Source organism: Homo sapiens, chromosome 9, assembly GCF_000001405.40.
Source record: "Homo sapiens chromosome 9, GRCh38.p14 Primary Assembly".
NCBI lineage: Eukaryota > Metazoa > Chordata > Mammalia > Primates > Hominidae > Homo > Homo sapiens.
In genome coordinates, this window is record NC_000009.12 from 87,003,568 (window position 1) to 87,028,829 (window position 25,262).

General features: G+C 40.0%; 1 long non-coding RNA gene and 1 pseudogene across 1 annotated transcript in view; one reads left to right on the forward strand and one right to left on the reverse strand.

The window, feature by feature from the left end:
• Positions 1–4,883: 4,883 nt before the first annotated feature.
• Positions 4,884–25,262, reverse strand: part of LINC02893 (long intergenic non-protein coding RNA 2893) — a 33,676-nt gene continuing 13,297 nt past the window's right edge. Inside the window, exon 2 of the long non-coding RNA NR_027471.1 lies at positions 4,884–6,643. This is a non-coding gene — a long non-coding RNA (long intergenic non-protein coding RNA 2893). The remainder of the gene's footprint in view (positions 6,644–25,262) is intronic.
• On the forward strand, positions 8,007–9,643 carry CDC20P1 (cell division cycle 20 pseudogene 1; annotated as a pseudogene).

Genomic DNA, 25,262 nt, shown 5'->3' on the forward strand with positions numbered 1-25,262 from the left:
GTCTCTTTATGGCATACTTGTTTATTCGTAAATGTGTTATTTGTACATTCGTTTTCTTTGTTATTAATTTTTACTCAAATTCATTATTTCCTTCTTTCTACTTGTCACAGTAGCTTCACATACAACATAAAACATAAACTGGAGAGACCCCACCCAGTATATAAATGTAGCAAAAATTTCATGTACCCCATACATTTGCACAAATAAAACACCCCCAAAACCCTCCCCAAATCCAAAGGCTCAATTTAATTCTATGATTTCAAAATATTGCCACCCACATCACAAAGACTTTCTTGATCACCCTACCTTCTGATAGTCTAGTTATCCATCTTCCAAATTCCTGGAGCAATGGTTCAGAGAGAACACATTAACCCCTGAACAGAATGTTTACTCAGCAGACAGTGGTATCTCAGTTCAGGTAACTAAAATAACTCTTGTCTGACATACAGCATAAGGATGTTCTTCTACAGGCCTGAGGGAATTTCTTGCAGAGCAATAAAGTACACTGGGATATTGCTAACCAAACATTATCACCACTGCAGAAACCAAGAAACATGGAAACTTCACATATTGACTAATTTAAGTCCCAAAAGGCCTACTAAGAATGAAGTACTCACTTGACAAGGGACTGTGAGGTGGCAAGGTGTTCATAGATGTTTATGTTGGGATTGAGTCATGTTTCATCACAGGAGAAGAATCTAGGGCTTGACCAAGCTTAGAATCAAGATTGGGAGCTGGTGCATTTATACAGAAAACATAATGAACCCTACACCTTACTGTGTCCTATGCCAGTAAAGGCACACAGATGACCATTGTTCTAGAAATTTGAAAGATAAAGAACTAGACTATGAGAAGGCAGGGTGATCAAGAAAGTCTTCACAATGTGAGTGGAAATATCTTGAAATTATAAAACTAGTTGGAACCTTTGGGTTGTTTTGTTTTGTTTGTTAATTTGTTAGGGGTACATGAAAAGTTTTGTTACATGTATATAAGGCATAGTGATCAAGTCAGGGTGTTTAGGATGTCTACCACCCAAGTACAATACATTTTTGTTAAGTATAGTCACCCTATTCTGCTATCAAACATTGAATTTATTTCTTCTGTCTTATTCTATGTTTGTACCTTTTAATCCACTTCTCTTCATCTTATCCCTGCCCCCACTCACTCTTTCCAGTCCCTGTTGTCTATCTTTCCACTCTCTACCTTCATGTTGGATGGAAACTTTGTTAACTGAATATTCGCGTTTCCTTAGAAATACTTAAGACAATAGTCCATATCACACCGTTGTGAGCATTTATGATTTTTTTTTTCTCAGATGAAAAACCCAGATGATCTGGGTTCTTTCCCATCAATCTCTAATAGGTAACATTCCTAGGCCCTCTGGCACTAGCACTGCTCCCTAACACAAAGATTGAGTCGCTCATGTTTGTATTCTCAGAGCCTAACCTACTGCCTTGCAGAAAGACTGCAAATATCATCTTTTTCTACACAGATTAAAGATTTTGGGCTTGATTTCTTGGTCAGAGAGAGCTATTGAAGGTTCGTGAGCAGGCAAAGGCCACATAACTCTGTGTCATTGGCTCAAGCTGACCAAGTCATACATCATGTGACCTGCACCCAACTATAGGGAGCTGCTGCATTTGTTTCATTCCTTCTTCATGGCAAAAGTCCTAGGTAGAGCCCAACGTGCTGCCATGAGCTGTGGGAGGTACTGTGATGAATATAACTTCAAGGAATTCAGGAGTTGGTGGAGGAGCTTTACAAGTCAAAACATCCAATAATGACTTGTTTTCACTGAATTTACCTGAATGCTCTGTTAAGTTATGGAGACCTGTCTCCTGTGATTCATTAGATAGAAGCACTATGGATAATAAGACTCTCAAAATACTGTTCTCATTGATATCGAATCTGTCTTGATGAACTGCAGCAATTGAGAAAGATCCCTTTGCCCAGCCTTTACCAATCTCCCTGCCCTTGATTTAGCAGGACTTGAATCACAGCAGAACTGGAAATAAAGTCAATACTATACATATAAAAGAAAGTGTTGGTCAATTGCTTTCTCTATGATATTCTAGTAATTTAATTGTACTTTCAGGTTAGAAAAGTAAAATAAAACAATTCTAAGGAAATCATAATTATGTTGTCTAAGTTGTGTACTGTGTGTCCAAGTATTTATTACACTCTGTATATGATGATAGATAACATTTTTAGAATGCTTTCTCTGTACCAAGGATTGTACAATATGTTTAGTATATACTGTTATCCTTCAGTATCCATGGGGGATTGGTTCCAGGACCACTTCCTCACTCCCCCACCCTCCACACACCCCCAAGATACCAAAATCTGCTGAAGCTCCAGTCCCTGATATAAAGTGAATAAATTTGGGTATAACCTATGCATATCCTCCTGTATGTTTTAAATAATTTCTAGGTTACTTATAATACCTAATACAATGTAAATGCAATATAATTAATCGTTATACTATATTGGTATTTTATTTATATTATTTCCTCTTGTACTGTTATTTTTTTCCAAATATTTTCCATCCCCAGATAGTTTAATTCTTGGATTCAGAACCCACAGATATGTTGGGCTGACCTTATCATCCCACTAAAGACTTGTAACAATCCCAAGAGGTAGGCCTAGTCATGATCTTTATTTTATAGAGAAGAAAATTAAAGCTTAAAGTAACTACAGGATCAGGCAGTGTGAACAAGGTAGAGCCAGGATTCGAACGAGGGAAGTCATGCTCTACCACCGCAGGCTGCAACTGGGCTGGTTGTGCACCTGCCACATATGAACCTCAGATATAGCTACTGTCTGCCAGAAATCCCACCAGTGTTTCCAGCCATATTATTTGAAGGTAAGGTAGAGCACCTCTGTAGTAGTGTTGCTGAAAGAAAAAATACTGAAATTAATAGAAAGACAACAATTTTTCTTATCACATATAGCTATAAGCATGGTGGAAAATTATGTCTATTCTCTCAGTAAGTAGATATAAAGCTGACCAATAATGGCATATATGCCTATATCTCCATAAATTAAGTATTGTTTAACATCTCCTAAATTTATCATAATGCTTCAACAATTTAAAAGAGATACCATTTTAAAGACAGTATTAAAAAAACCCAACAATTTCTCACTCCTTATATATGTACATTTACATATGTACACACACATAGAAATACGTATATACATGTACACACATACCACATACATATATATTTATACACATATGTGTGTGTGTGTGTGTGTGTGTGTGTGTGGTATTTTTCAGTTCACACCTGGAAAGTGAAAGTAGTGCTCCCATTTAGCTATTCCATGTCTGTGCGCAGTATGTTCCTGACAGAAGAGAGTTTCAGTTTAGAAGGGGACTCCTCCATGAACCTTCCTTCCCCAACTCCCAGAACAAAATGAATCCCCTCTCTGTACAGATTGCTTTTACGTCTAAAATAGATCTATGTCTTTTCATGCTGTCTTGTATGAGAGTACACTGTACATGCATCCCTCTCCCTTTCTCGAGTTAAATAAGGTCCAGGAAACTTTGTCTGGAATTCCCAAGGCTGCTTGAGGATGGGAGCTGCTAGCAGACGTGTCAATACGTGTCTGAATATTTCTTTCTAAGTGAACTCTCTTCTGGTAAATGAGAATGAATTTTGGCCCAGTATTGATTTCCCTTTTAGATGACACATTTCTTTTGTTAACATGTTTCCATCTTTGGAGAATGAGGGATAAGTGTGAAAATGGGTACATCTACTTTCTCTCTTTATTTACTGAAAATTTTAATTCATTTTCAGGCAAGTAGGTTCAGTACACGACTTTTCCTGGGGTGAGAGGCTAAAGGAGTGGGAGAGATGGCATTTTCGGTTGACAGAAATAGAGGTCAATCAGTCTGGTGCCCACATGCTTTGTGAATACTGGCAGCCAGCCGGAGTTCAGGTCTCAATTAAGCAGATTAAGCCAAAGAAAGCACAAATGGAAACCCAGGCAAATTACCCCAAATTGCAGCTATTCCAGCGTTCCTATACACTGGATTTCTCAATTTAAACTGACCCCCAAGATATTAAGGAAGAGACTGAGGAGAGCAAACCCTCTGGCCAGCTCCAAATCCATCTGCTTGAATTACAGAGATGCAGGCCCCCATCTGAGGCTTTCCCTTTCATACCAGGCAGGAGGGCATTTGGGGCTGTGCGTGTGTTTGTGTGCATGTGAACTCATAGACGAGGGCATATGTGTACACTGCACACTCAGCATGTCAAAGGCAGCACTTGTTCTGCAGGCCTCATAAGAATAACCACATCACACAATGGCTTCTTTCTAAATAAACAGAAGAGGAGAGTTGGCTGATAAGGCATTTGTAGGATATACCAGGCCAAATTCAGTCAGCAGCTCCTGAATGTAGACAAGTGGCCTTCTATGCTAGTGAGCTTGGGAGAAGATACCATCTCTCCTGTCCACAGGCCCCATAATTGCATCTCATTCCTGACTCCTGCGAAATAATGACCCTCTCTCCTCATGGTTTGCAGAACAACACATGGGGAGGAAATAGTAGATCTGAGCTAACTGGCCCAGAAATTCTAACCAGATGATGGAAAAATGTTTTGTCAAAGTAAGAGTTCTTTGAATTTTTAAGAGCTTTGCATAATCTAATAAGCAGCCTTTTCAAGAAAGTGTCCAAAATGAGGCCAGCAAGACTATCCACCATTATTTCAATATCATCTTGCCAATTCTTTCATTTTGACGGATACAGACAGGAATCCCAAATAAAACATTCCTTCTTAGTCCTCCCCTGCTTCTTTTTTGGCAAGAGTATAAAAGACTTTTCCCCCTTAAGCAAAGCAGTAAATGACACAATGAAAGAAAAAAAAAATGCCTCGCAGAACTGCATTGTATTTTCAACTTTATTAAATAAGCAAAAAAAAACAACTGGATAAAAAGTAATTTTGCAAAGTCTATTAAGCTCCCATTTGTTTGTGGAGGTGTTGGCTAGTTGTCTAGATCCTTGAGTAACTGACCTTTTTAGTTTGTTTTTATGTTGTTTGTTTTCAGCTTTTGTCCACAACAGGCAGTCACTTCAGACCAGGAAGTCTCTAAAAGCACCGAGACTCTTCGGAGGTTAATGCTTTCGGCCAAGATCATGGATGGGGAGGACACAGGGCTTTACCATCAGCACTTCTCTTGGTACCTCACTATCAACAGGATGATGGCCCATAGGAGCAAAGGCACCAGTTTTCATGCACTGCCCAGTTTACCCATTTTGGCAAATCCTTCCTCCTGGCCTCCTGACTATGACACCACCCAGATGTCCATATTTTCTGCCAGGAAAAGCCTGCTGGGGACAAAGCTTCTTACTTCATGTTTATCTTCTCTCCATTTCAGAAAATGTCCCGTCTTACATTGCAACTTGTTGAAAGCAGGAAAGTGATTTTATAGTAAGACTAATTTACATTAAAGTGAAAATGACATTATTTTGAGGGGTACCACTTCAAGTAATTTGTTTATATTTTAATAATATATTGAGAGTCTTGGTGGCTCAGGCCTGTTTTCCTGGCACATAAGGAGGCAAAGCTGGGTGTTTGAGACCAGCCTGGACAATATAGGAAGGCCTCATCTATATAACAACAACAACAACAAAAAAGAATATGATAGAGACATTCATTGAGCATTACATTTTTTGAGCATTATATATTCTGTGTCCTGTGTCTCCATCCAAATTTTAGATTCAAAATATATTATTACTGTAATGTTAACCCCAAAAGAAAAATATTTATTGGTAATAATCTAAGTACTATGATATGTAAAGAAGACCTCTCCAAATGCTCAAATCATACCATATTGGGAATTGATTACTCAAATAGCTCTCTCTATATACCTATATCTAAACCAGGACCAAAGACTGAACAGGCTCGGAAGATATCTTTGTTTTTATTTTTGTTTTAGAAACAGGGTCTCTCTTTGTTGCCCAGACTAGTCTCGAACTCCTGGGCTCAAAAGATCCTCCCCACTCAGGCTCCCAAAGTTCTGGGATTACAGGTGTGAGCCACTGTGCCCAGACTGAAGTTATCTTTGTAGGGTGCTTCTTTCACATGGGAGATGGAACATACAGATCCAATACAGATGGGATTGTTCTATAGAGTAAAACGAACAAGTGCATAATTAATTCCCATGTAAGCCATTCTCTGGTCAAAAGTTTGCCAAAAGTTTCTACCATTTGATCCTCTATCTCTGAAGTGAATACAGAAGCAGTACAATGAGGCAGCTATTAGCAGAGGAAGGGACCTACATGGGACTCTTGTAGCTCATGTGGATATGGAACTGCAGAAGAGAGAGGCTGAGGTTGACGTAAAATAAGACCCTGAAATCCAAAGGCAATCAACGAGATAGCATTGGTTAGAGTTCAAAACCTCAGAGATCCATATGGCTTTCTTGGGGAAAAACTCATTTATCTTGACCTAAGGCAGAAAGTGAGAAGGAGGCAGTAGCCACCAAGACAGAAGAAAACTTAAGCATTTGAAGAGGGAAATTCAATGGGCTCCAGGTGCCTTCCATGTAAACATTTCAGAAAAACTCCCAGAAGTTTGATAGAGCTCATGCGTGTCAATGAAACTGTAAAATCCAGTCAAGTCGCCATCCTGGTTGGACTCTAATAGGGAAGAAAGAGAAAGGATTAGAGCCAGAGAGAAGGAAGACTGCTTCCAAAAATAAATTTCAAGAATATCTTAGGGTAAAAGGATGGACATCTTCACTGGGGACTGAAGATGGGGAGCAAATAGCACAGAGAAGAAAGGTTTATAAGGTTTAGGAGCAGAAAAATTTGATTTGGAATTCCCAATCCTGTTCCTCTTTCAGAGGGCCACTTCTGATGCTGTCTGTTGCTGTTGTGCAAACTTGTTTTTCCTGCAAAGCCATTGAGGCATCTTCACATGCCATAATGTCTGTACTGTTTAACTCCCGAGATAATTATTCTCAAAGGAAGAAGTCACTGATGGAAATCCCTGTAGCTCTATTGGATAGCAAATAAATTGCATTTATTCCTTCTGAAAGAATTGTTTTAAAGCAGAATTACATAAAGGGACTCTATAAAGAACAAATATAGGTTAAAACTTGAATTTTTCTCAATACTCTAGAAAGATGACGGGCTGTCAGTATCCTGCAAATGTCCCATCTCTTCCTAGGACCTATGAAATCTCTCTCTCTCTCAAGCCATCTGGTGTTTGCATTATACTTTCATGTGTTTTTTCACTCACAACATCAGGTCGTCACCCGCACTCTTTCATGCCAGAAATTTCATCCCAGTGATGTTTGGCCCACCCCTTCCTCTCTTTCCTTCACATATTTCTTGAAGTATCAGGATGTTCCTGAATATGAAAAGCCTTTTTCTTCCTGTCCTTTTTCTTATACAGGGCCTCTAAGTATGAAATCAACCATCATACACAAATAGTGTACATATTTTGTTTGTTCATTCATGGGTATTAGTTGCTGTTTGTGTGAATGGTTTAGATGTTCTCTGTAGAATTATTCTCTTCTATTTTGTTAACAATGCCCACTTTCAATTGTAACATATTGCAAGGTAGAAAATATATTCTTTAACCAGGATTTTTAAAAAATAGGTATATAGGAATGTTCCCTGAGAGAGAGAAATATTGGTGCTCATACATTTATGTATATATACAAAAATGTACTCATATTTATATACACACATAGAAATGTACATGAATGAACATATATATACATGTATATGTGAATATACACATGTATGTGTCTATCATAATATCATCCTTTGTTTTATATTTTTGCGTATATTTCAAAACATTTTCAAGATTTTTATACCGTGGTACCCAAATATAATTTATTTATGTTCAAAACAGTGTCTACACCATCATGAATAAGCTGTGGCTGAAAACCATTTGATAATGAAGCAATGGCGCTGACAATGATATTCACTCATTGCCTGGTTTTTTTGTTTTTTGTTTTTTGTTTTGATGCTTTTAAAAACTGCTGTCTAGGGTCGGAACTGCAACTTGCTCCGGAGGGCACGGGCTCCGTAGTCACCAACTGCAAGGCCCCCTCCCCCTGCGGGCGCTCCCCTGGCACAATTCGCGTTCGAGAGTGACCTGCACTCGCTGCTTCAACTGGATGCACCCATCCCCAATGCACCCCCTGCTCGCTGGCAGCGCAAAGCCAAGAAAGCCACAGGCCCGGCCCCCTCACCCATGCGGGCCGCCAACCGATCCCACAGCGCCAGCAGGACTCCGGGCCGAACTCCTGGCAAATCCAGTTCCAAGGTTCAGACCACTCCTAGCAAACCTGGCGGTGACCGCTATATCCCCCATCGCAGTGCTGCCCAGATGGAGGTTGCCAGCTTCCTCCTGAGCAAGGAGAACCAGCCTGAAAACAGCCAGACGCCCACCAAGAAGGAACATCAGAAAGCCTGGACTTTGAACCTGAACGGTTTTGATGTAGAGGAAGCCAAGATCCTTCGGCTCAGTGGAAAACCACAAAATGCGCCAGAGGGTTACCAGAACAGACTGAAAGTACTCTACAGCCAAAAGGCCACTCCTGGCTCCAGCCGGAAGACCTACCATTACATTCCTTCCCTGCCAGACCATAACCTGGATGCCCCTGAAATCCGAAATGACTACTACCTGAATCTTGTGGACTGGAGCTCTGGGAATGTATTGGCCGTGGCGCTGGACAACAGTGTGTACCTGTGGAGCGCAAGCTCTGGTGACATCCTGCAGCTTTTGCAAATGGAGCAGACTGGGAAATATGTATCCTCTGCGGCCTGGATCAAAGAGGGCAACTACTTGGCTGTGGGCATCAGCAGTGCTGAGGTGCAGCTTTGGGATGTGCAGCAGCAGAAACGGCTTCGAAATATGACCATTCACTCTGCCCGAGTGGGCTCCCTAAGCTGGAACAGCTATATCCTATCCAGTGGTTCACATTCTGGCCACATCCACCACCATGATGTTCGGGTAGCAGAACACCACGTGGCCACACTGAGTGGCCACAGCCAGGAAGTGTGTGGGCTGCGCTGGGTCCCAGATGGACGACATTTGGCCAGTGGTGGCAATGATAACTTGGTCAAAGTGTGGCCTAGTGCTCTTGGAGAGGGTGGCTGGGTTCCTCTGCAGACATTCACCCTTCAAGGGGCTGTCAAGGCCGTAGCATGGTGTCCCTGGAAGTCCAATGTCCCGGCAACAGGAGGGGGCACCAGTGATCGACACATTTGCATCTGGAACGTGTGCTCTGGGGCCTGTCTGAGTGCCGTGGATGCCCTTTCCCAGGTGTGCTCCACCCTCTGGTCTCCCCACTACAAGGAGCTCATCTCAGGCCATGGCTTTGCACAGAACCAGCTGGTTATTTGGAAGTACCCAACCATGGCCAAGGTGGCTGAACTCAAAGGTCACACATCCCGGGTCCTGACTCTGACCATGAGCCCAGATGGGGCCACAGTGGCATCTGCAGCAGCAGATGAGACCCCGAGGCTATGGCACTGTTTTGAGTTGGACCCTGTGTGGCGGCGGGAGCGGGAGAAGGCCAGTGCAGCCAAAAGCAGCTTCATCCACCAAGGCATCCGCTGAAGACCAACCCCTCGCCTCAGTTGTTTTTTATTTTTCTAATAAAGTCATGTCTCCCTTCAAAAAAAAAAAAAACAAAACTGCTGTGTAATTACAGAATTGTATTCAATCCTGTTTTAATAAATAAGAGACAATTTACAATAACTCACTTGCAGCAACGTGCTTTGAATCATTTCAGAGAAGAAGGACAGAAGAGATTGGTTGACACCACAGTGTGATTAAAAAAATAGGAGTCAGTGGTATTTATGAAATGAATAAATAAAGCACATGCCCACCCCCATTAACCCACTGCATGGTCAAGTTCTTAGGGAGGTGATGAGGCAACCTCTCCAATATTCCCATTATAGAGCTCCACTAACATTCTGCTTGGTGATGACAAAGTTGCATTTAGATTGGTTGATAGTTGGTATTGAGCCCAAAACCAGGGTTGAAGTTGTTCCAGGGAGAGGCTGGATTGAGGCACAATGTACAGCTAACGTTAACCTCCTCCTGACTTGACCACCCCAGCAGAAGGGCCTTGACACAAACCCGGTGTATCTGCTGAGTGGGCAAATACAAGGAGCGATCCAGGCTGTAGTTGCATGGCCTGAGCAGCAATGCAAGGAGGACCTTCCTTTTGCCTTTAAGCCTCCTCTTCCAGAGAAACTTCTACCAGTGACCTGGCAGTGAGACTTGTGTTTCATGTAGTGATGAATGTTTTAGACCTCCAGACTCTTGTTCTACTGAAGAACCTCCCTCCAGGGTCCTGCGTTGAACTGGCCTTGCTGCAGACTTCCTGAGTTTGTCAGCAGTAAAGGTAACAGTACCCAGAATGGAGCATTCTAGCCAATGGTTAAAAGTCCTGGTATTTTCTCCACAAAGTGATGATAAGAAAGGGGGTTGACCCCTCAGTCATATCAAAAATGTTTAGAGGTCACTGGGTAGACATGAAAGACAACCTGTTGAAAATTTAGATGGAGGTCTGGAGTCATCATACAAGCAGAGGAAAAAGACTGAAAAGAAATAATGTCAGAATGTTAATGATATGGTGATGTTAGAGGTGATTTTAGTTTTTTTCTTTGTGCTTTTCAGTGTGAATTCTCTAAAATGAGCATTTTTTAAACAAGAAAAAAATGTTAAAATAGGCACCAAAAACCTGAATACAATAAAATACTTTTAAATAAGTTCACACTCATATCTAGAAACTCTAAGCAAATCTAGGTTGCCAACAGTCACAAAAGGTAATTCTATTTAGGTTAAAAATGTGAGCTACGACTATCTCCCTTTCAGATATTCACAGAATAGAATAGCAGGACTAAATTGTGTGCATGGCTGAGGAAACATAGCTTTTTGTTTTCTCTGTGTCAGGTGGTTTCTCTCTCTTTAACCAAGATTACATTTCCAGAGTATCTACTTCTCCATTTCTCCTGCCTTTTATTTTTCCGTGGTTGCAATCTCCTGTAATTATGAGAAAAAAGTTTTTTCCTGGAGCAGCATCTCTGAGATTAGCCACTTTGGAGCCAACCTGACAATTCCCAGTTGGTGCTAATAATCTTCTCTGTAGAAACATAAGTTTTCAGGACATTCAGCTCTGCTCTGAGACTTAAAACAGCTGGAAAATGCATGACTTGAGTTTTTAGATCTGACAGCATTTGAATCCACTGTCAAATAGTACTTAATACCTGTTAATCTTTTTGTAGTTTATTTTCTTGTGCTTAGATATTTGCTACAGTAATTAAAAGCAGTTATGAATTCCTGAAATATAATTCCAAATACCTAGTTCTAATGAGTCAATCCAGTACTTGGATAAACAAATACCAAAGTTCAGGAGAGGGTAAAAGTTGGGAGTTGTCTTTATTTTTGAACCACACTATCTTTAAATTGCACACTATTGTCCTTAAATTGTATGAATTCAACCTGGAAGGATAAACCATTCCTCAAATTAAGGTCTTTTGCACTTTGGTGATACATCTTTATTTATGAAAACCTGACATCTCCATTTCATTACATTTTTAGCACTAATCTGTGCTTCTTGCTAGATATTTAACAAATGAAGTTTTTATTAATATATTAGTCCGTTCTCACACTGCTAATAAAGACATACCAGAGACTGGGTAATTTAGAAAGGAAAGAGGTTTAGTTGACTCAAGTTCTGCATGGCTGGGGAAGCCTCAGGAAACTTACAATTATGGCAGAAAGGGAAGCACGTCCTTCTTCGCATGGCAGCAGCAAGGAGAAGTGCTGAGCAAAATGGGGAAAAGCCCCTTATAAAACCATCAGATCTCATAAGAACTCACTTACTATCATGAGAAGAGCATGAGGGTAATCCCCTTATGATTAAATTACCTCCCACCGAGTCCCTCCCACCACATGTGGGGATTATGGGAACTACAATACAAAATGAGATTTTGGTGGGGACACAGCCATCCATATCAGTTAATGACCATTTCGTTCATAAATTCATTCATTCATTCATTCACAGCCCTCTGGATTATATATACCAGGGAACAAAACAGGTTAAAAAAATCTCTGTTCTTGAGGAGCTAAAATTCTAGTAGGTGGAGAATAAACATAATAAATAAGTAAAATACATGGTATTTTAAGCCCTTTGGAAAACACACAACATGGTAGGGAGATATGGAGAGAGCAGACTGCAATTTTAGTTGGGGATGGTTCTGTGTCAGTCTCACTGAGAAGGTGACTTTCAAAGGCTTGCAAAAGAAAAGTAGGTTAGCCAAGCAAAGGGAGTGGCCTGGGCAGGCAGAATGAATGGTGCAGGAGTCCTGAAGAGAGAGAGAACAAGTGGGAGGGGAGGGGTGGGGGAACAGCAGTGCAGCTGTGAGAGGGATGGGGGCCCAGTGAGAGTGAGGTCAGAGAGGTCATGGGGTGGAGGGGTACAGATTACATGGGGTCTCCTGGACCATTATGAAGATCTTGACTTAGTCTGGCTGAAGGGGGAGCCATTGCAGGATTTTAAATGAAGAACTGTTGGCCTCTGACTTTTGAAGGTCACTCTAGCTGCCATGTTGAGACTAGATTGAGGCCAGGCAAGGGTGGAAGCAGGGAGACCAGGTAGGAAGAGGATTTACTTAGACCAAAGCAGTAGCAGGGAAAGTGGTGAGAAGTGGTCAGACCCTGGATCTATTCTGAAGGTGGCACTAACAGTTTGCTGAGGGATTCAAGATGGGGTGTGAAAGAAGGGGAGGGGACAAAAATGAGATAGTCCAAGGGTAAAGGGAAAAGTGAAGTTTCTATCAACTGAGTTTGTATGCCTTTGTTTCTGGGACTCAGGGGTAAACTTCTGAAAGACAAGTACATGTCCTGTGTTCTGTAAACATCACAGAATCAAGAAACAATAAAAATGATGTCTAAACATAAAGTTTGATAGTCCCTGTCATTTATCTGCAACCTACAGGGAGTTTGAGCCTTTCCCATGCCATAGGGAATCTCTCAAGCTCCACTCTGGGGCCTGCCATCTAGGTTGGCACCTGAGGGCAGATGTTTCTGGGCCCTCATCGTTACCCCCAGAGTCTTAGTGATGACCTGTGGATGGCATGGGGATGGGTTACTTCTTATCTGTCTGGATATGTTTTACCCTTTGGACTCCATGGGAATCCAGGTACTTTCCCAAACATGTACAAGTCCAGGAGAGGGATAGAGGATAAGGAATGAGATCAGGTTGCACTCCAGGTCTCACTATCTTATTTTCTTGCACAACAAACAATGCAGGCTTAATCCAGAGGGCATGGGACAAAAATACGTGAAATTTTTGACACAGGCCAGCTCAAAAACATAAATGAATCACCCTGGCCAGATGGAAACAATGGGGAGTAAGTGGTGCTGACTGTGGCAAAACAAAGAGTTGCAGGTGATGGCTGCTACAAGAAAATGTAAGCCCAATAAACAAAACGCGTGTGAGTGGATTGCAGCCCAGGAACAACTTCTTGGCCAATGGTTTGGGCCATGGGAGCAGTACCATGAAGACTCTCCCTTGGTCCTTGGAAGGCTCCTCCCTCTAACTCTCCCTCCCTTCCCCTTTCCCATGGCCCTTTCTTTAACCCATTCATTGCCTACACTACAGTACCCAATTTACCCTACACTACTTCCTGACTTTTGCTCACCCTCTACACAAATAATCTAGTTCTGGATCTTTTAGTCCCCCTGTGTCTTGCTAACTCTACTGCAGTAAATGCATCAGGTGTTTGTCTATAGATGTGAAGTAATTCACATGTTTTACATTTCAGTATTTACCTACACAAATTTACCAATGTACAGTCCTAGCAGCATGCTGCAAGGGAGTCTTCAGGATGCCAACACTAGATTCACAATGGTTTTCATTTTTTTCAGTCAAGTGGGCAGCAGAAATACTATCTTGTCTTTCTTTTTGTCTGTGTTTTCTTGATTGTTGGTGAGGTTGCGTGTCTTTTCAAGTGTTTGTTGATTATCTGAATTTTCTTCTGTGGCTTAACTACTCATATCCTTTGACCCTTGTTCTATTGTGTGGTTTGTCTGTTGTCTTTCCTTTAACAGTTATATATTTTGCAAATACTTTTTCCCAGACTGTTTTGTGTTTTGTGTGTGTGTGTGCATGTGTGTGTGTGTGCGTGTGTGTGTTTTAATGCTGTTTATAGTGTATTTCATTCCTCAAAAAAATTTCCTTAAGGTCATTATATCTGATTTTCTTTTCCATTATGGGTTCTGGGTATTCTATCTTCTTTAGGAAGACTGTCCCCATATCAAGCTTGTAAAGAGAGTCTCCTTTATTTTCTTCTACATTTACAAATTTGGACTTTACATTTGGCCTTTTCATTCATCTGAAAATTCTTTTTTAAATCATATGAAAATTAGTATTTTCTTCAAATGGCTAGCCAACATTATTTTCTGAAAAGAAATCCATTGTTTCCCACAACTTTACAATGTGGCCTTCATCCTGTATTCAATTCTAGTCACTTAATTCAACAACAAACATTTATTGAGCTCTGCTACATGGAGAACTCTGCAAGGTAGAGTTAAGGCTCAAAGTAGAGTCAAAAGCAGATGGGCTCCTGGACTCCATCAATGTTAGCCTTGATTCAATAATATCTGCTGGACTTTACCGTTTCCAAATGTAATGGATCATTAACTTTCTAAGAATATTTCATACCTATTAATGGTAGTTCCAACTATGCCAATGATCTAAGATCGTAACATATTTTATCATGAAACAGGAACAAATAAAGAGGTAATCTGTAAAAAGCTCCCCAGCTTTCCCATGTCCTCATTACAACTCCATTCCAGGTACTCCCCTTATCCTTGAAAGAGCACCCCTTTATCTGTGAGCATCATGAGCAGGAATGCAAGTCCAGAGCCACCTTTGCTCCCTGCAAATGAAATATATTAATTTCCCATGTCTCTCATTGTTTCCTGACCCATTCAGGAGGAATTCGAGGAAGGGAGAGCAAGAGAGTGTTGCAGCATGACTGCCTGTGGCTGCAAGCAAGGGCACCTTCCTGCTTCTCTTGCTTTTCCCCTTTCACCTTTTCTCTGCTGGCCTCCAAGTGAAAAATACTCATCTTCCCTTAGACCCATGAAACAGGAAGAAATATCTCATTGACTTGAGAAAAATGTCTAATGAAAATATGATTATTCCTTAATGCCTAGGAAGATAGCAAATCTATTTAGGGAAATACCTCTTAAAGTTTTGACTGAACTTGAAGTTCATCAGGACATGGCCTCTCTGTGATGCAAGTATAAGGTGAACCACAGCAGATTTTTAATGTCAACAGTGGTTTTTCTTTAGGGGCATTCCGTGTAAACTATTAAGACCTCCAAGGGTCCAAAGTAAAAGTCCTAAATTGAGTTGTTTATACAAAAGCTTTCACAATTCCACAGGAAAGCAAATCTTTATTTTAAGTATGGATGTTTTTCCTCTCCATTATCCCTTCATGAAACCTGCTTTTGACCTAAGGCAAGGTCAAAAGCAGGACCTTGACCTGCTAGAATGGAAGCTTCAGGGTGCGCCTGAAGACTAGGAAGGAGACATACTATCTGAAGTGATCTCCATGATATTTATGATTTCAAGGGCTCTATTTTTGGCTCTTGTAAGGCTTGGTTTTGACTGCTCTGCACATTACTTCGCCTCTCACCTCTTTTACTTTCTTTCCCTTCGCACCACCATCACCCCTGTTCATCAGTGGAAACCAACTAAACAGAGAATGAATGGCTGATGAAAATTACAAAGGAAGCCAATATTGAAAGAATGGACTTTCCAGGGGGTGAAATGTAGGAGAAAGGTCCAGAGATAAGGAGAGTCACTGACAACAGCCGGAATGGCAATGGCAAGAGCCAGGCATGACAGACCGAGGTCCTTCACCCCAAGGTGAACCCCACAACTTGTTCCATTCTTCCTCTGCCATGTGAAAATATCCTCTAAGATGTGTTATTCTTATATATTTGCTGCTAACCCCATCCACTTGTTTCTCATTGGAAGAAAATATTTCTAATTCATTGGAGAAGTTTAAATTCTAGTAAAATTTTCAGTGTTTATGATTCAGAGTTAAATATAATCCCCTAATTTACATTGATTTTCTTTTAAAAGGATGAGTTTGGTCTTTCAAAATGTGAAAGGCCTCCACAACAGTTATCTTCAAATGGTTTTATCTTCTTGTTGCTTCGTTGTCCCTGGCCCTTCTGGAAAGTTGACTTAATTTTATACACCTAGATACTTTTACTTCACCCATTTGCTGTGTTCCTAAGGCACTCCCAAACTAAAGTAAATGGATGAATTTGCTGATTTTTCTTCCATGAATAAGCCCTATCCTCTAGAGCAAATGGGCATAAGCTCTGTAGGCTTCTTGTCCTCATTGGCATAGGGTTTTAGACTTTGTGGAGACAAAAAAAAAAAAAAATCAAATTCCCTTAGAACAAATGACCCAGATTAGAGGGCAATGTATTGGCTAGGAGGGAAATGGACAGAAAGAAAATATGTAGCTTGTCTCTACAACTGTAGTTTTTAAGCCCAAATAGTTTCTTGGAAGGCTCCTTTGGGTGAGAGGGTTTACTGATTTTTTTTAAATTTCTTTAGTTTCTTTCTAAGTCCTACTTCTGGGGCCACTGCTGGATCATCAACTCCCCAGCACAAAAGAAGGCACCAAAGTCCCCAGGGCTGTCCAGAGAACAAAGGGGAGCCTGCTGCATGCTGATAAATTGCTCATGTTAGCACCTGTAAATCTGTTTTGCATTTCATTTCAACCTTTACTCACTGCCGATAACAGCCCCTGAAAATGAATCTTGACAGCATGTTGTGATTTTACAGTATCCAGCAGCAAAGCCCAGCTAATTGTGAGCATATGATTTTTCAAGCACTAAATTTTATACTTAGTCCATGGCTCTGACAAACTTACTTATTTGGCAGTTGCTAATCATTAAGGCATTAATTGCTTTTCTCCCAGCATTTAAGCAAGATGAAGTTTGTTTTCTAAAAAGCAACTTCTGCTAAGCTGGACAGTCATCTTTGATTCTTTGTAGGCTGTTCCTGCGGATGTGTTTTTTGCTGTACTGTTCCAAGAAAAAACAAAAAACTGTTGAGATAGCAAACAAAGGCCCCTGTGCTGAAGTCTTGCAGAAGGGTAATTCCAGTGGTGTCTAGTTTCAGGCTAGAATACTAAGATCATAATTTCAGGCCATCGATGGCTCTCCCAGATGTCTTTGGTCAAGTTAATCACAGTTTGCCTGAAGGTTGAGTTTTCAGGTAATCCATCATGGCGTAATTGTAAATCAAGAGTTCTTTCTAGCTAAAATTTGGGAGGTTTTAGGGCAGCCTGAGACTATGAACCATGAACATAAGGCCCCCAGCCTCTGTCTTTTGAGTTTTGCAACTGAAGCCAATTTCACAAATACTGAAGAAGGCTCAAGACGTTACATGTCAAATGGACACATGAAGTGACTGTCATTTGAGTCAGTAGGAACACATTTGATGTTGTGGGACTCAGGCACACCTGGTCTTCTAGTGGACCCTCCAGTGATGGAAGATTTTCATTCTAGATGGGGAGGCATTGACATCATACCTAGTGTGTCCTCTGCCAGGCACCATAGAGGTGTGGAGTATGCCCGCCGATGCCCTTGTTGCTGGAGGAGAAATCACATTTTTCTGTTTCTCTTAGCTTTTTCTCCCTGGTTCCACAAACTCCCTTTAGTCTATGTTGCTTTTCTTCAGCCTGATTTTAATATTTTCCCTTATTTACACTGAATTCCAATTTAAGTTAGAAAACCTAGTATTGAAGATCGAATCTACTTCAGAGGATCTCTAATCCCTGATGTCCAAAATGTTACCTGCATGAAATACATACAAAATTTTATGCACACACTCACACCCTATTGTATGTTCATTATCTATATATCATTTCACTTACTCCTCCACTTATCCAGTAAATTAGGTATTCTTACTGCCCCCCACCTATTTTTTTTTTTTTACAGGTGAGGAAATTCAAAGATGGAATAAAACATTGTCCAGGACCTTCCGAATTTTGCGGGTGCACAGCCAGGATTTGAAACCTGGACTGGCAGTCTTGGAGAACACACACACCATCAAAACTTCCGTGCACGAGCTACATGGCAATCACTATGCAGTTTTATGTTTTCCATCAGCTATTCTGACCTCCTTCCATGGCACATCAGCTGGAAGTGCTCCTGAGGGCTTACACGGCACTTGTTCATGCCCTGGTGTACCTCCCAGAGCTCTGGCTCATCTTAACACCACTTAGAGATGTTGTTTTGTTTCTCTCCTAACCTGAGCTTCACAACAGCATCGCTTGCAGCCAAGACAAAATGGAATGGTCAGAGAGGAAAATAAGAAACTGGCTTTCCTTTCATACCATGCTGTCCCAGGGGTGGTTTTAGATATGTGTGAAAGAGACTCAAAGTCTGTATTCTTTGAGTTAACAAAACCATGTTACTACCTGTTCAGAAGGAAATAGCAGTGGTATTCATAACAACACAAAGGAAAAAAAATTAAGGCAATTGTCTCGATGAGTTTCCCAGATCATGAAAAGTAAATGTATTTTTCCTTGCATTCTATCCAGGAATATCTGCAACAGTGGAACTCCAGCTAAAATTCAAAGTCAATTCTCAATCCCACTTTGTTACTTTCTTCTTCTACTAAATAGGGAAGTTTATTACTAATGACCCTGGAGAAACAGTCAGGCAGGACCACATATCTTCTGCCTCTGGTCTTGCCAGGCATTGCCAATTCATCACTGCACTTTGTTTCCCTGAGCCCTGACCCAGCCTCACAAGACAGTCACTACAATCAATCAGACTAGATGTGCAAGAGGAAGCAGAGTCTTCACTGCATACCTAGAATAATGCAAACAGCAATATCACAATCAGAGAGTTATCTTTTTCTAAGTGAATATTCCGTCACTGCTGTCTTTGGCACAGTTGCTCTCTCTAAACCTCCTTTTAAAATTCCTTTCTTGTGTTGTTAGGGTCAGGTGACTACAAAAGGTCATGCTTATGAGGATGCATGGATGGTATGGAGAGTTGACTAACCCCCACTGGGAGCAAAGGATCTCCCATTCTCAATCCCCTGTCCTTTCTTCCTAAGCACCTCCTGTTTGAGGAAATTAATATCTCAGTTAGAGAGAATTTGTTTTCATAAAGAAGCAGGAACTTTCTTGGAACTGTAAAGGTACTTCCTTGAAATAATTATTTCTGATTCAGGGCCCCTTTGCTGCTCATACATTCAGAAATCAGGAGCATTTTAACAGGATATTTTCTTGATTAGATGATTTGCATGCAGGTCAATAGAGGGTAGGAGGGTATCTTTTCACCTTTGTACAAAGTTAAGGACAATCTAGTTGGAGATATTAATAGTTTAGTGTTCTGACCAGTCACAGATAAGGAAGAAAATGTATTTGCTGTTGTGAAATTGTGTGTGTGTGTGTGTGTGTGTGTGTGTGTGTGTGTGTGTGCAAGCTGCCAGCACAGTTGCTTAGAGAGGGGACTGGATGTACTGAGAAGAGTAATCTGCTCTCTACATCCCCTTACCTTTATTCTTTCCCCTGGGTATTCTCAGAAGAACAAATTTATAGCCCATAGGTTAATAGGGAGCTATGTGTCTCATTGTAAGTTTCCAATGGCAGCAGAGTAACATGCTTGCTATAAATTGGCAACTGCCTACAATTCAGAGGTTCTGTTCTCAAGATTCACAACTGGTATGGAAAATAAGGAAGTAACTAAATGGAAGAGGCCTCATATTGTTGCTTTATAGGGTGTTTCATTCAGCTGTTCTTCTTGGCTCTTCACAAAACAATAGTTACCTTTTCTTAATAAAAATACTCAAAGAACTAGGAATAAAAGGGAACTTCCTCAACCTGATAAAGGCCATCTGTGAAAAACCCACAGCCAACATTATACTTAATGCTTTCCCCTTAAGATCAAGAAAAATACAAGGATGTCTACTCTTGACACTTCTATTCAACACTGTACTGAGAGTTATATCCAGAATTATTAGGCAATAAAAAGAAATAAAAGACAACCAGACTGGACTGAAAGAAGTAAAACTATTTCTATTCTGAAAAGACATATTCTTATATATAGAAAATCCTAAGGCATCCACTAAAAAACTATTAGAACTAGTAAATAAATTCATCAAGTTTACAGGATACAAGATCAGTGTATTAGTCCATCCTCATATTGCTATGAAGAAATAGCTGAGACTGGGGCTGGGTGCGGTGGCTCATGCCTATAATCCCAGCACTTTGGGATGCCAAGGCAGGCGGATCACTTGAGGTCAGGAGTTCGAGACCAGCCTGGCCAACATGGTGAAAACCCATCTCTACTAAAAATACAAAAAATTAGCTGGGCATGGTGGTGGGCGCCTGTAATCCCAGCCACTTGGGAGGCTGGGGTGGGAGAATTGCTTGAGCCCAGGAGGCAGAGGTTGCAGTGAGCCGAGATAGTGCCACTGCACTCCAGCCAGGGCAACAGAGTGAGACCCTGTCTCAAAAACAACAACAACAACAAAACAAAACAAAACCTGAGACTGGGTAATTTTTAAATAAAAGAGGTTTCATTGGCTTATGGTTCTGCAGGCTGTACAGAAAGCATAGTGGCTTCTGCTTCTGGGGAGTCCTCAGGAAGCTTCCAATCATGGCAGAAGGCAAAGGAGAAGCAAGGCATACCACACGGTGGGAGCAGTAGCAAGAGAAAGAGAAGGGGAAGTTGCTACATACATTTTAACATCCAGATCATATGAGAACTCACTCACTATCCTAAGAGCAGTACCAAGGGAGGATGGTGCTAAACCATTCATGAGAAATCCACCGCCATGATCCAATCACCTCCTACTAGGCCCACCTCCAACCCTGGGATTACAATTCGACATGTGATTTGGTGGAAATACAGATCCAAACCATATCAATCAATCTACAAAAATCGATTGTATTTTTATACACTAACAATCAACATCCTAAAAATAAAATTATGAAAGCAATTCCATTTTCAAAAGCATTTAAAAAAAACAACAACAGCTAAGAACAAATTTAACCAAGGATGTGAAATACTTATGCAGTGAAAATTACAAAATATAATTAAAAGAAATGAAAGAATATTAAATAAATGTAAAACAATCCCCTGTTCGTGGATTAGAAGACTTACTACTGTTAAGATGGCAAAGTTCCTCAACTGATCTACAGGTTCAGTAAAATTCCAGCTTTCTTTTTTTGCAGAAATTGATAAGCTTATCCTAAAATTTATATGAAGATTACCTGGAGTTAGCCTAACTCGAGGTTAAGGACACAGTCCTCTATGATACTGCCCTAACCCAGACACCAGCTGCAAGTTCAGGGGTCCCCAAGTCCATCCTCACTTCTCACAAGCTGGATAAAAATTCGAGTTTCCACAACTGCCTTTGAGTTTGAGAAAGTTTGATAACTTACTGGAATGACTCACAGAACACAGGAAAATGCTATACTTATGACAATGCTTCATTTCCGCAAATAAAGAAGTATTTTAATTATATATAAATTAGAACCAGCCAAAGGAGGAGACACATGAAAAAAAGTCTGAGAGGATTCCAAATGTGTAGCTTCCATCTTCCTTAGGATGTGCCACCCTTTAGGCATTGAAATGTGCTCCTACTCGCTCAAAATGAATTGCCAACCAGAGAAGTTCACCATTGTTTATTTAAGCTTCAGTGTCCAGAGTTCTTACTGAGGCTTCTTTACATAGGTATAATTGATGAAAACATTGGCCACATGGTTGAACTCAATCTCTAACCTCCCATCTCCTCCCCCAAGTCAGGTATGCTGTAATATGGCTCAAAGCCCTAGCCTTCTAATCATATGGTTGGTCTTTCTAGCATGGACCGTCCCCATCCTGAGTTATTTTCTTATCATAAACTATCTACAGACTCATTTTTAGTGACCTTGTCAGCACAAACTAACAGGTGTGGTCCAAAGGCCCACAATGAACAACAAAGAAACTACTATTTTTGAGAAATTCCAAGGGCTCAGAAGTTATCTCCCAGGAATTGAGGACAAAGGCCAGCCACACTCTTTATTATACAGAAAAGGAAAGGACTCATAATATCCAAAATAGTGTTGAAAAAAAGAACAAAAAGGAATCACAATTTTCAATTCCAAAACTTACTGTAAAGCTACAATAATCAAAAGAGTGTGATACTGGTATAAAGCTAAACATAAACCAATGGAATAAAATTGAGAATCCAGAAAATATCCTCACATTTATGGTCAACTGATTTTCTACAAAATCAGGGATGTCAAGACAATTAAATGAGAAAGCACAGTCTTTTTAACAAATAACACTGGGAAAACTGCCTATCCACATGCAAAAGAATAAAGTTGGACCCCTACCTCACAACATATAAGAATTCACTCAAATGGATCAAAGAACTAAATGTGACAACAAAAATTATAAAACACTTAGCAAAAAACATAGGGGCAAATCTTTGTGACTTTACATGATACCAGAAGTCTTAGATATGGCATCAAAAGCAGAGAAAATTGGTAAATTGACCTCAATCAAAATGTAAAACCACTGTGATTCAAATAATAGCATCAAGAAAGTGAAAAGACAAACCACAGAATGGGGAAAATATATGCACATTCTCTGATAAAGAACTTGAATGCATAATATAAAAAGAACACTTATAATCCAACAACAAAACAAATAACCCAATTTTAAAATAAGCAAGGGATTTCAATTGATATTTCTTCAAAGGGTATGTACAAATGACTAACAAGCACATGAAAGGATGCTCAACACCATTAGTCTCTATGGAATTGTAAATCAAAACCACAAGCAGACACTACTTCACAACTATGAGGAAGGCTAAAATTTTAAAAAATGTATTCATGAAGATATGAAGAAATTAAAGGTCTCATACATTGCTGTTTGAATTGTAAAATAGTGCAGCCACTCTGAAAATAGTTTGGAAGTTTCTCAAAATGCTAAATATGTACAAAGTTATCATATGATCCAGCATTTCCACTCCCTGCTGTACACTCAAGAGAACTGAAGACACGTATTCATATAAAAACTTGTAAATGAGTGTTCATGGAAGCATTGTTCATAATTGTCAAAAAGCAGAAACAACCCAAAAGTCCTTCAACTGATAAGCAGACAAACAAAATGTGGTCTATCCACACACAATGGAATATTATTCAGCCGTAAAAAGGAATGAAATACTGATACATGGAACAACATGGTTGAACTTTTAAAATCATTATGCTAAATGAAAGAAGCCAGACACAATAAGCCACATTATATGATTACATTTATGTGAAAAGTCCAAAAATATGCATGTCCGTAGAGATGAAAAGCAGATTAGTGTTGCCAGGGGTTGGAGGAGGAGGCATTGTGGAGCGTCTCTGAAAGGGTACAGAATTTCTTTGTAGGGTGATAAAAATGTCCTACAATGAGACACAGGTGATGGCTGTACAACTTTGTGGATATATTAAACAACAATGAATTATGTATTTTAAAATAGTGTATATTAATTACATCTCAATAAAGCTGATATTAAATAAGAATTGCTTCCTGAGGCAACCATATGTCTTGATTTAGAACATCAACACTGTTTTCATTTCCTTCTTTTTAAAAGAAAATTAACATCATAATGAGAACATTTGTGACTTCTTTATGCACACTGTACATCTCCAGTTTCTGATATCTAGTAGCTCCTATTTTTAGGGTTGATTTCATTTAGAAATAGGAAGCTCTGCTCATGGAAAAACCTGGTTTATTTTAAACCACTTAGCACTCAATAGTATTTTTATAAGAAAAAGATTTGTCCAATTATCGTTTTTTGACCTGTTATCATATGCCAGGTACTACTGTGTTAAGCTCCCAAAAAGTTTTTATAAGAGCTGCAACTTCCCTAAGGGAGTTTATAATGTAATAAAAGAAACAAATGTATTGCACAGGTAGTTACAATATAATGTAAGGTGTGCAATGATGATGGTTTACACAGCACTCTAAAGTAGAAAAAGCAAGATCTTCTCGCTAGTTTTTAGATAAGGTGAAGCCCTAACTAAATCTTATATGAGGAACAAGAGTTACACAGATAAATGAATCTATTCACATAATCTATATATGGAAATGAATTTATTTTGTAGCTCATGAAGTAATTGATAGGTTCTTATCAAGAAAGTGACATGTTGAGATTTCCTTCTAGAAATCTGGCACTCTGGCTTCTCTGTGAAAAATACATTGAGACGGTTAAGAGTAAAGGCAAGAAGAGGAGGGAGGAGTCTATTTCAATGGTCCAGGTGAGACATCATGAAGGCCTGAACTGGGCAAGGGGAGTAGGTGTAGAGCAGGCTTTAAGAAACAATTCGGAAGTATTATTAGGAAGTGAGAAGGATCATAGCTCTATTAAAATTTCCATATTCATAGCAGTTGAGCTCAGCAATCCCATTACTAAGTATATATTTAAAGGAAAATAAATAATTCTACCAAAAAGACACACGCACCTGTATATTTATTGCAGCAGTATTCACAATAGCAAAGACATGGAACCAACCCAAGTGCCCATCAATGCTGGATTGGAAAAAGAAAATGTGGTACAAATATACCATGGAATACTATACAGCCATAAAAAAACACAAAATCATGTCCTTTGCAACAACATGGAAACAGCTGGAGGCCATTGTCCTAAGCAAACTAACACAGAAACAGAAAACCCAGTATGGCATGTTCTCACTTACAAGTGGGAGCTAAACACCGGGCACACATGAACATAAAGATGGAAAAAGTAGACACTGAGGACTACTAGAGAGGGAGAGAGGAAGGGAAGCCAGGGTTGAGAAATACCTAAGGGGTACTGTGCTCACCACCGAGGGACAGGTTCAATCGTGCTCTAAATCCCAGCATCATACAATATACTTTTGTAACAAACTTACACATGTACACCCAGAACCTAAAATAAAAATTGAAAAGAAAAAAAAATAAATGAACGAATGAAATTAATTTCATAAGCACTAAAAAAAAAAGTTATGGTTCAAGTTGAGAGGCCTCCTGCATAGGTATCCCCAAAAGGGAAAGGCAATACAGGAGGAGATGCTGGGTTAGGGCAGAAAAGGAGGGCTTCAGTTGTGGGATGAAGACATGATCAATTACTTGTCCATTTCAAATAGAAATAAACAAGTACATCACAAACAAGTGTAACAATAAAAGGGCAAAATTCTGTATCATTTCATG